This window comes from Homo sapiens, chromosome 10, assembly GCF_000001405.40.
Source record: "Homo sapiens chromosome 10, GRCh38.p14 Primary Assembly".
Taxonomy (NCBI): Eukaryota; Metazoa; Chordata; class Mammalia; order Primates; family Hominidae; genus Homo; species Homo sapiens.
In genome coordinates this window covers 82,056,659-82,069,902 of record NC_000010.11, presented here as the reverse complement: position 1 = coordinate 82,069,902, position 13,244 = coordinate 82,056,659, and the positions used below count along the sequence as shown (strand labels likewise).

Genomic DNA, 13,244 nt, shown 5'->3' with positions numbered 1-13,244 from the left:
CACTGCACCAACACTTCACAGGGAAAAAGGCAGGTGAAGTTTCTGTTTCTTGTGACAAACAAGCTATGCTAACCATCCCATTTTTATTCTTAGTTTGTACCAATTAATTTACCAGAGCAGTTTTCTAAAAGCTTATTTCAATATGAAACTTCTCTATCTATCACTATTAGATGATTTTTGATATAGGTTTTATATGTTTTCTACAATCCAGACTCCGTTTCTTTTTGTTTTCTTTGTATGAACACCTTCAAAAATAAATACGAATTCAAATACCAATTTTAAATGAGTGACATAAGCTCAGATAAATCCTGGTTTGGAGCTGGCAGACATGAGTCTGAATCTTGTCCTCATGCCCCGTATGACTTTGGGTATTAGTATTTAAATTCTCTAAACCTCATTTTTCTCACTTATTAAAAAGGAGCTGACACTCTATACCTCACATGGCTGTTGGAAAGTTAAATACGCTCATGTGTGCCCGGTGCCTCACCCATTGTAAGAAGAGATGAGTAAGAAAACTTCCTGGTCTAGAAACCAGGCGCCACCTCACAAGTCTCAACATCAGTACCTGTTATTTCACTGTGTCACGCTTTGCCTCTTTTCGTGTATCTGGTACCTCGTGCATGCAGTTCTCTGAGGTCCAGCTGTTTTGCCAACGTTAGGTGAAGTGAAGCTTCTAAGAAACTCCAATGCAACCTGACCCCTATCCAATCCATCTGCACCCTAGTAGGCCTGCACAGCCATCTAAGCTGCTATTTAATGACATGCTCTGTGGTTCTGAAGACAGTAACAAGAGGAATGGGTTTCTCTCTGGGCATGGGAAATATCATTCCAGGATTATAAATTCTCTGAAGCAATTTGTGTTTCTACTTACAGTTTTCAAAGCTCTAATCCAATTAAACCCTTCTGTGGACATGCTGTTAACTCAAATACAATTCTTGTTTTGGTGGTTGACTTATTTTAAATATTTGCAAGATTCCACTGTGACTTATTGAAAGCAGTACTCAATGTCATTATATTTTCATAGCATCCAGAGTGATTTTTAAGTACACAAATACGATTATTTCATTCCATACTTTATAGTCTGAGGATAAAAAACAAAATATGTTAGTGACTAACAAGCCCAGCTTGACCTGGCTTGGCCACTTAAATGACCTCATTTCTTCCCACTGTCTCTCTGCATTCCTGGAACACTCTCCCCCTTTCCCTGCCCGCTCCCTCTGGTGTCACCTCTTTCATCTAAGCAATTCATTTTCATCCTTTACAGCTCAATTCTAATATTAACACCTTAAGCAAGCCTTCATTGAAACCCCTATTTATGTGTTCTTACAGCATCCTGTGCCTCTTCATAATAGCAGTATCACAGCTTACCTTATACATTTATTTGTGGTTTTATGTGACTAGTAAATTTCTCAACTAAGCTGTACGCTTCTCAAGGGCAGGAAACGTCTATTTTGCACATGGGTACCTAATACAGAGCCTATCATGTAGTATGTGCTTGATACATTTTATTGAATAAAGGAGGGAATCAATGAATTTTTGTAAAAGTAAACATTTATAACCTTATTTTACACATTTTTAAAAGAATGTGGATGCTACTGTCATCAGGCTTCTGTATCACGTGCAGTGGCCTTAGAAATAAAGTGAGACACTAAATACTAATTGTTAAAAGGCATTCTAAACAGTTATGTTCTACTGTAAGCTGCAGTAGTTGTTCCTGCAATTCCCTCAAAGCTATAAAAAGGAAGGATGGTTTCTCCTTATTACATTAGTCCTGAAATCCCAGTATTTATAAACTATAATTCTATTGTTCTACACTCACACACTCAACCATTCTTCGACGCAGGAAACACTTGTCAGTTGTGTACTGTTCAAGATCATTACTTACAGGTAGCTTGAGGAGGAATGTAAGTCAGAAGGAAAAAGAGGAATATGCTTTTCTGTGATGAATACTGACATAAATTGTTACAAAAATAAAAATTATAAACTTGATTTTTGTTTAGACTGAAAAGCAAATGCCTATATCCCTGAGGGCCATGCCATATGTCAAGTGAAACTCGCAAAGTGCTATTCAAAGGAAATGACAAAGATTGCTTTGAGAGCATTAAGATAATAAAGCAAGGTTTCTTGAGTGGCTCCCTTCCACCACTCTGTGTCAAAAACAACTGTTTGAGGTCTAACAGTTCTGATTTGGTGGTTCCTCTCTGAAAAACACAATAGCAATCCACTGGTGCTGTCAGCAGGAGTGCAAACAGACAGGCCAGGTGTGGTGGCTCACACCTATAATCCCAACACTTTGGGAGGCCAAGGCAGGCGGATCACCTGAGGTCAGCAGTTTGAGACCAGCCTGGCCAACATGGCGAAAACCCGTCTCTACTAAAAATATAAAAATTAGCCAGACATGGTGGCAGGAACCTGTAATCTCAGCTACTTGGGAGGCTGAGGCAGGAGAATGGCTTGAACCGGGGAGAGAAGGTTGCAGTGGGCAAGATTGCGCCTGGGGGATAGAGCAAGGCTCTGTCTCCAAAGCAAGCAAACAAACCACGACAACAACAAACAGCAAATGGGGAACAAAAGTAGAGTGGGAAAATTTCTTTACAATAATTAACATAAATGAATTTAAAAGAAAATACAATTCAGTCCTAATGCTTGTTTTTCTAAAGCATGAATTACAATAGTTGATGACTTCAAGGATAAATTTTCCTTCAAAAAAATTCCACTAACTTCAAATTTTTGTCAATTGGGTTTGACAATGAAATAGAAGTGCTCCACTGTTTTGGGGTTTGTTATATTTGCCATTTTTTAAAAAAAATCAAACTGAGAAAAATTCAACAGAATATAGTAAGAAATAAAATTTGCAGTTGTATTCTATAAAGCCTCTTAACTTTTGTATATTTAGGATCTAATAGCTAAAAGTAGAAGGGCATTCTTGGGAGGAGTTACTCAAGTTACTTATATATGTTGATTCACACTAATATGAAAATTGTCTTAATGAGTCTATGGACAAGGGTATCTACAAATTGAATCCAAAGAATTCTGACAGCCAGTATGATAGGATTCATTAATCATGACTCAAAAAAAAAAGAATAGGTCTAAGTACCATGGGTGGTGAACTAGCTGGTGTCTTCCCAACATATGGCTGATCCCAATGTTTACTGGTCCTAAGAACATTATACTCACTGGTGTAGAGAGAATGGAAACATAAATGTTGCATTGACTTCCTTCAGGTCTTCGTGAAGTGAATCACTCAGGTAAGTACTCAGCAGACATGGATCTTATAGAATTTTAAATATTGTGTGCTTGTAGGACCTCTGATAGTCCACAAAGCTTAGTATGCATGGTCCAGGCTCCAGAAAGCACATATTGCAGAGGCCCCCAAATAGGATACCAAAATGAGGGTCCCTTGCCTCTGCCTTCCCTGCATCAGTTAACCATAAGTAAAACAGAAAAGTACGTAACAGTAAGAAATAACTTAACTAGATTGCAAATCCCATAGGCATGTCTACAAATTTACTGATAGACAGAGTGTACATTTACACAAAATATATGCACATATGTACATTGAAAAGGTAATTTATGCATATATAATACATGAAAATTAATACATATGAATATGTGTAGATGTATATTTACATTCTTCATCAATTAAATCATAAACACATTCTTGTACTAAGAATATTCCCAAGATGAGTGAACAAGATAATATTTGTTTTATATGGTAGTTATTTTTAGATTTTAGGCAAAATAAAGAAACTAAAAATTATATTTGAAAAATTAATATCCTCATTAACTTGTAAAAGACATGGTTAAATTAAAAATGAAACAAAATACATACATTTTAGTTCACGTTCATTTCTTCTAATGATTATAATGTTAAAATGATAGATTTTTAAAAGTAAAGGTTAAGACAATAATAAAAATGATGATAGCAATGGAAAACAGGCCTTTGCAAAATTTCTAAATTGAAATGTGAGTTTTGTTCCTGACATAAAAACTAGATTAAAGAGCAATTTGATTTATAATTTTTAACTACACAAAGAGTTGGGATATACAAATTCTTGAACAGATAATCAGAGACTTTGGATTGGTGGGAGGATCTTTTCTGGTTATTGCATCTAAAAATCCAACTAGGGATGAATCTGTTCAGCGAAATTCCTAAAATATTCCTCCTCCTGCAAGGGTCCATCTAGAGACACAGAACACACTATCTCCTTTTTTATTTTCTAACTAGAATTTTTAATTATTAAAAACATTTTTCTTTATGTACTCTCTACTGATAACCCCAATGCAGTAGTCTATATTCTTCCCCCTTCTGTCAGTAATTCAGCAAATTTTTTTTTAACATGTACTATGTGCCAGGGACTGGAGTCCTACACAATTAATTGAATTACTGTGTCACATTAAGAAGGCAGATAGTGAATCCTTCCCAGTGACACAAACTGACACAATGTATATATCTTTCACTATATGTACTCTCATTCTACGAATGTTTGCTACAATGATATACAATAAATTTTACCTAAAAGTTATTATCAAACTCTAAACCCCACTCTATTTATACACATCAGTGAAAATGTCTAATTGCAGGCCAGACCTGGTGAGAGGAAGCAGAGTGTTCTGCAATTGTCTATGTGTTTTTATTCTAATAACAAGCATCTCCTGCTTGTGCTTGCTATTAATAGATGGATTTTTCATTATCACTCTCAATTCCCCTCATAGTTTTACGTAAATATGTCTCCTACGGAAGTCAAAAAGCCTTTGAAGAAAGTCAGTGAGTTTTAAAGGCCTTGAAAATCCATTATTTTAGAAGAAAAGTTGGAATGATAAAGTATATTGAGATAGATGTTTGTTATGAAATGAAAATTTAATTTGTCTCTGATACTGCTCAGCTTCTGCACACAAATATTTCAAAGAACAAGTTTAAGTGTTAAATAACAGGGCAATGGATGTATGAAATTCTTTATGTGTGCATGAATAGTTGTTATATGGGTATTTAAGAGTATCTTCAACATACTGAGGACTTTGGTTGGAGTTTTGAATAATTCTTCTTCCATTAAAAATACAGAGATAAAGGTTCTTGCTATCTCCAAATTCACTATTCAGCAAACTTTCAGGAGAGGACAATGTTCAGCTAAAGGGGATGTCTAAACTCCAGGTGGAGGCTGTGGGTCACCCCTTCCATCAGCACTTACCAGAACTTCAGGAACTTTTGGGGCATTCTCTTGGCTCAGATTTCTCTTGTACTTAAATGCTCATAAGTGTGCATCAGGCCATCTCATCTTCATGCATTACTCCTTGATCGTCCGTCTATAGCTTTACATTTATCCATCAAAGATTATATCTAATTTAGTTAGCTACTCAAATCTATTGACATCTTGATGCTTTTTTTTTCAACGCGTATAAGTCATTTTTCCACCATCTCCTAGGCTTCATGCTTTCTTTATATTTGTTCAGCAAATGATTATTTAAAATGTGTATTCAATAATGATTAGTGAATGGGATTTTTATTGTTTTATAATAAATATATTATTTTTATATATATTTGATATTTCATAAGAAAATGATTACCTTTAGTTAGTATATTTCACTTAAATGGATCTCCATGAGAGCCCTGTGAGGTGGACCAGGCAAATCTCCATGGTACTAGAATGATCCTGTCTTAGGTGAATTTCCTGTGATCTCAGGACTATAAGCTATGCAGGATTGGACCACAGAGTTATTTTGACTCTTGGTCTAATGATCTTTCCTTAAATCCATTCCTTAATTCACTGATACAATTCCAAACCAGAACATGTCAATGTTGTTTCCCTATCTTTAAAAGTTTGTTTGGGAAAAATTATGTTTCATGTTGACATGAGGTACAACATCACTGTCACCATGAGAAAAAATACAAGACTGGATCATGATAAGAGGCAGAAGATTCCTTTCAGAAATACAGATCAGTCATTCATCAGGGCAGTAAACCCTCTCTACAACTAAAACGTTTTTGAGATTCTTTGTTCTCCCAGCTATGTTGTTAAAAAATGGAAGTAAAATTTCCATGATGTAAGCCAGCAGGCAAATCACACCTGATAGATCAAACGATGGTGGGAGGGACTTGCTCTCCCTTTGAATACATCATTTTTCTTTCTTTAGTTCCCAGTTTACTTTCTTTCTTTAGTTCTTTAGTTCTTTCTTCAGCTATTTAGTTCCTTTCTTTAGTTCTTTAGTTCCTTTCTTTAGCTTAGTTTCTTTCTTTAGTTTCTTTAGTTTTCTTTCTTTAGTTACCAAATATTAGCTTCTATAATTACCTCTACCAATAATGCTATACCAAGACACAAGGGCTGATGGGTTTATTAAGGGCACCGATTGACTATCCTTAGAAAGCAACATTTCATCTGACAAAAAAAAAAAGATCTTTTCCTGCCTCTAAAAAATATATTGATTGTCTCTATACAAATAGAGCAGCAGAAATTGTTTATCAGTAGAACAGCAGAGTTATGTTAAAAATATGTTTATACTTTCTCATCTCATGTTTCTTCCAATTACTTTTGGTCTGCTATTATAAGCTAAGATATTTGTAATACTTCTATTTCCTTTTTTTTTTCACATTTGCGTCTTGGTATAAAATAAAGAAAAAAAAACAGAAACTTGAGACTGTAAAATGATGATAAACCTAAAATGCATTTCCAGTGATAGTTAGTGACATAAAAATGAGAAAACAGCCATGAATACTCTCATCAAAAGAATCATAAGTGTAGAACCACAGAAGAACTGAATTGTTTGAGGTGGAGGGGACTCCTGGGATTGCCCAGGTATTCCATTCTATCACTGAAGAAGACACCACAATGTTGAGTGAGTGACTTGCCTGGAGGTACTCAAGTCCTTGGCTGAGGTACTGTTATGTACCCTAACACTAATGGGGTATCAAGTTGGTGGGGTGGGCGGCAGATAATGGCTGCTTAGAACAGCAGAATGGCAATATTAGTCCTCAAATGAGGGAGCTGCAAATGGCCAAACCACTCCAGAAGCACAGATTCAGTAGCTCTAGCAGTAGGTATGCTCTGAATACACAGCAAGGAAAAAGACCAGTCATTTTCCTAAGAGTGGATTCAGCACATTTTTGTTTCTCTTCAGTACCTTCCCTTCATTTTTGGTTTCCCTTCCACATTTTGATGATGATACTTTTCCCCAGTAGCATCATCAAAAGGGAGAAAGACAGCATAGCCTCTCCATCTCATGCCCCTATATTCTGCTCCATCCCATTGCCTGGGAGCCAGCTTTCCCTTAATTCTTATTTTTTTTCTTTTTCTTTTTTTTTTGAGATGGAGTCTTGCTCTGCCCCTAGGCTGGACTGCAGTAGCGTGACCTTGGCTCACTGCAACCTCTGCCTTCCAGGTTAGAGCAATTCTCCTGCCTCAGCCTCCTGAGTAGCTGGGACTACAGGCGCACACCACCATGCACAGCTAATTTTTGTATTTTTAGTAGAGATGGGGTTTCACCATGTTGGCCAGGCTGCTCTCAAACTCCTAACCTCAGGTGATCCACCTGCCTTGGCCTCCCAAACTGCTGGGATTACAGGTGTGAGCCACCATGCCCGGCCTGCCTTAATTCTTAGAACTTCTATTTGTTGACTCTCCCAGAAATCCAATCTGCTCCCCTCTGGCATCCAGAGGAGACTGAAGACTGTGGCAGATAATAAAGAAATGAGCTATGCTGAGCTCTCAGGGACCTTGGGCCTCTTCAGGGGAAAGAACACTCTAGAGATACAAGCAGGGCTTTGTTTCCCGGGCTGCTTGGATCACCCCCAGTTCTGCTGACACATTGTGCCCAATGTCCAGACTGCATGATACCTGGCAGCAGCTGCAACCCAAAGCTATCTTTGGATAGCTATTCTTTGGTCATCAAAAGCAAAGAAAAGGAAAGACCAATATAGATTTGCACCATGCAGCTCACTGACTAATTTCTATATATAATTGCTTTTAAATTTTTGTAAATCAACTGGTAAAGTATCACTATCCTTTTAAGAGATGTATGTGTGTGTGTGTGTGTGTTTGTGTGTGTGAGAGAGAGAGAGAGAGAGAAAGGGACACTGACAGAAAGAAGAGAACAGAAGGAAAGGAGGGAGACAGACAGAAAAAAGGTGAAGGAGGGAAGAGAGCAGTTATGGAGAGAAGGCTTAATCCAGAAATGGGAGAAGAGGGGGAAAACAGAAATCCAAGTAAAGACCTAAAGGCAGTGTGACTCCATCATGATACCCCAGCATTCACTGAGCTCACTCTACAAACACATGCAAGTGGATTTTTAAAAGGAAACTGGTAGAAAGCCCAAGTTTCTTATTATGACGGATATGGGTTGAAGGGCAGCAATGACCACAGCACGGGAGCTGGAGGTAGAGGGGACCAGGAGAACATCCAAGGTGGAAACTCTGTAAAAACCTTGGGGAGAGTTTTAAATTCTGCAGACCTGAGAATTGGAAGAACAATATAAATTCAACTAGATCTCCAAGGAGTAAATGGGGGTCACCCTACCTGTTTTAAAATTATTGTTTTTCTGTTTTGTTTTGTTTTGTTTGAGAGGGAAAATCTTGCTCTGTTGCCCAGGCTGGAGAGCAGTGGCGCAGTCTTGGCTCACCGCAACCTCCGCCTCCTGAGCTGAAGGGATTCTTCTGCCTCAGCCTCCCAAGTAGTTGGGATTACAGGCACCCGCCACCACGCCCGGCTAATTTTTGTACTTTTAGTAGAGACAGGGTTTCACCATATTGGCTAGGCTGGTCTTGAACTCCTGACCTCGTGATCCACCCGCCTCTGCCTCCCAAAGTGCTGGCATTACAGACGTAAGCCACCAAAGATTATCACATACCTACATACACTGAAACCAAACCAAAACAATACAACTTGGGTTCAAAAAACATATGGAGCTATTTCCAGATTGCAAACATAGGAAGTGGCAGTGGTGGGCCTGGGAGCCAGACAGGCCTGACCTCAAAGACTGAACTCCTTCCTCTCACAAGTGTCACCCGAACTGGCATGAATGAGACAACCAGAGTCAGAAAGAGCGAACCGCACCAACCAGCCCAGTCCAGGCTTCTTAGTTACTGGGAGAAAGAGGTTGAGTAGAGGCAATATGCAGGTCTTCCCACCTTCTACTGGCCACAGGTAGGTCAGTACAGGCATCTTCCAACCTGAGAGGCACCAATAATTCCACTAACAAAGAACAAGGTGAATTATCCATACAGACATCAGGAAACCCAGGTGGACAATATTTGCATTAGAAATTACTGTACTCATTTATGCTAGAATAAATATTCACAAGGCTAAAACAAAAACAAGATTGCTAATCAGATGATATTCAATAAAAATTAAAGCACATTCTTGAAATCATTATTTACAACATCACTTAAAACGTTCCCTATTGCATCTTTGATCTATGCATAACCACCAAAATTACTACTCTTAGGGAGAACAGAACTGTCAAAAAATTTAAAATCATTGCAGTTCAGGCTGGAAGGATTCATGGTAGAAGACAGCACCCCTCAGCACTTTATGGCACACAGTAAGAAATATTTCAGTTTAAGCAAGTCTTTTTTCTGTAATTCTCTATCCTCCTAGTAACTCTCATTATTTAAACATTCATGCATGCCATATATTGTGTACCTACATTGTGCTTGTCCTTATTAATTGTTGTGAAGACAATAAAGGAAATGCTCATGCCTTCATATAAGGAGATACAGACACGTAAGTGACTACTATAGCAACAGACTGTGAGAAATGGCTTTGTAGACAATATGAGTAATAATTACCATTTATGAAATGAAATTCCTGTGTGGGGGAGTCAGATATTGTGCCAATCTTAATTGTATCCTTCACAACAAACAAGGTCTTTATTATTACACCCATTTTTAAAGGAGGAAACAGAAGTTTAGAGCAGTTGATTTCCTTGGGGTCCAGGGCCGTGCAAGTGGCAGAGGTGGTTTTGCCTGTGTCCAGTACCCATGATTTCTATACTAAGTTACAACATATTCAAATACAATGTTATGGCTGATCATCAAGGGAACATATCAGAAGCCACTGGTGGTACCTAGGACATGAAGGTGTCCTTGTAGATAGGCTTTAAGATATGTAGGCAGAAGGGTCTCCCAGGGGAGGGGACAGAATAAACAAAGCCACAAGTATGGAAAGCGAAGAATCCATCCTGGTGTAGGATGGATTGATTAGGTGTACTGGGTCTGGGAAGACCAGCTGAGAGGCACTGACATAGCGCCGATCATAAGTAAGAATGATTTGAATTGGGACGAGAAGTAAAATTGGGAATGGAAATGAGAGGATGGGGAACATTGTCACTTTGTTATTCAATAGATATCTAGTTCAAAAAGTCTCCTGCCAAATTATTTATTTCCCTCCTAGAAACAGCTCCTCCTTCTATCACGTTTTTCAGAAAATGTTAACTCAATCTACCAGTTGCTCAAGAAAAAAGCTTAGTCACCTCCTTGATTCTTCTTTTTCTCCCATCCTTGCTATCTTAGTCATTACCTAATCTGGCCATTCACCCTGAAATATCTACTGAGTGTATCTGTGTCCTTCCACATTTACTAGGCCATAGTTACTTTCCACCTACATTACAGCAATATCCTCTAAATCAGCCCATCCCTCTAAGGGTTTTGTCATTTTCTATCCAGTATAAAAAGTGCTACAGCCTAGATGTTGTTCAAAAAATACAGATTTGATCACATTATTCCACAGTTTCAAACCTTTCAATGCATCTCATTGCTCTCAATAAAACATCCACAATTCATTGCTTGGCCCTTGTTCCTGTCCGGCTTCATTCTGCAGCATTTGCACATCACAATGTATACCTCTCCCCAACTGAACTACTGTTTTAGTTTTTCAAATAATTCTGCTTTGTCTCACTGGAAACGTCCCACATGTTGCCTCGGCATGACTTTCTTGCTCCTTCTCCACCATTCCCCACATACTGGAAATACAGACTTCAAATCACCCCTGCCAGGAAGCTTTTCCTGATTGTATTGTCCAGGTCAGACGCACCTCCTATATACGTTCCCATGGCAAGCAGAGTATCTTCTATTAAAGAATATATCACCCTAAATAAGAACTGCCTCTTCAGTTGTCTGTAGTGCCTAGATTTAGGGTTTTGATGTGTCCAACTTTTTCATTTTTGTTCTCAAGGCCTGAGGCAAAGTAGAATGACCTTCCATGTTTCCTTAGGAAAAAACACCAAAAACTTGTGAGATGACTAAAGGAAGGAGAAGGGAAAAAAATCAAAATAAAAAAACTTGTGATGGAACTACTCAATATGACCTAAATTAAGCTAATTTTTTCTAGAAAAAGTATATTTATAAATATATATTATATAGATAGAATATAATAGAAAGTTGAAGGCATACCTATACATAAAAGCATTCTGCACCACATAAAAGGAGTCATTTATATTCTACAGATGAAACGGGTCGTTGAAAATATTAATTCTAGGAAGAACTAGAAGAAATATCAGATTAAAAAATAATTTTATGGTATCGACGGAGACAATTTTCTAAGCATGGAATCAAATGCAGAGAACTTAAAAGGAAAGATCAATATATTTGACTATATAAAAACTTAAAAGGTCTTAAGAAGAAAAACACAGCACTTTTATCAAAGTTAAAACTAGATATAACAAACTAGGGAAAAAAATAACTTGCTATGTATGGCCTAGAATTGCTATCCTTAATATACATAGAGCCCTGGAAAAAAGAGAAAACACAAAGATGAAGCACCCAATGAGACTTGTATATATAAAAGTTTGAGTAAATGTTACCAGAACATGACACCCCTTATTTCCCATTTAGCACAATTAATAATATAACATATCAAATAATCGGTTTTTAATGCACGACTGTAGTCACAGGAGAGTAAGGGAATTCTTTAGAAGGCTTTACAAAGAAAAAAAAAAAAAAGAAAGGAAAGAAAGAGAGAATCCACATGAGTAAGCAAGCACTAGAATGGGAAGTTTTCTTCAGTTTATATGCCAATCACTGGTGGCCCGGAGTCTGAGTTTTAGTCGGCCATGCAAATAAGGAACTAAGGTAGAAGGCCAGATTGAAGACTCCCTGTGAGTATCTTGAATCCCTGATACATGGTAACTCATTTAGAATGAAGGTCCTAGCTTTGGCCTAAAGTAGATACGAAGAAGGACGAAGAGGAGGCAGTGAAGGAGAAGGAGAACTCTCTTGATAATTCTTAAACAAAAATTTGCCCTCATGTTTGAAACAAAATTTATCATACCCTTGTCCACTCCCCACCCAAACTTAAAGTATAATTTAAAGTAGTTATAGATTGCTAAGGCCTCTAGTTATCTGAAAGTAGCCTAGAAATCCTTTCTGAAGACAATTTAAATGTAGCCTAAAAATTACCCCAACAATTTCAAAGGATCAAAGATCAAAAGAATTTAAAAAATTATTATACAAATGAGGAAATAAGCTGCCATGTATACGTGTAGGCAGAACCAACATACCACAGAATTAAACACCAAAGAACAACAGATATTGGACTTATGACACAGAGACTATAAATCATGCATGTGTAACATGTTTAAATAAATAACAGAAATTGGAGTAGGAGTTAGGAAAAAAGAACTAACAAAATTATACATACGTATTTGATAAAGAACCAAATAACTCTATAGAAATGAAAAATGTAACGTTAAAAAGACTATCAGATATGGCTTAAAGGAAAATTAGTACATTGAAAAAATATCTGAAGAAAATACAAGAAATGAAGTACACATATAAGGGGTGATGGAAAATAGGAAAGAAATATTTTAAGGAAAGGATAATAGAGTGGAAAGATCCAACAAGCAGTATAAAGTGCAAAATCCTAATAGAAAATAAAGACAATGATTATTTGGAGTAAAAATTCATGGGAATTTTCCAGAATTAATGAGAGATAACAATGATCAGAATCAGAAGGTTGTGAATTCTACACGTAGATAAATCCTACTGAAATTGCAGTGTAAAAATAAATAGAAGTTTTAAAAAACAGCTGTGGGAAAAAAAGTCATCCACAATAAACAATAATTAGACTACTGGCTTCTCAATAGCAAACACAAAAGTCAGAAAGCAATGGAACAATATTTCGAAAATGCTAAGAGAACATAATTGTTAACCTGGAATTCTAGCCAGAAAAGCATCTTTGAAAGCTACAGTCAAAATAAAAACATTTCTATTTAAACAAAAACTCAGAGCTAACCCCAACTAGACTGTTAAAAAAGAA

General features: G+C 37.1%; 1 protein-coding gene across 24 annotated transcripts in view; it reads right to left on the bottom strand.

The window, feature by feature from the left end:
* NRG3 (neuregulin 3) overlaps nt 1-13,244 on the bottom strand; it is a 1,111,986-nt gene that overhangs the window by 917,277 nt on the left and 181,465 nt on the right. The window lies entirely within an intron of this gene.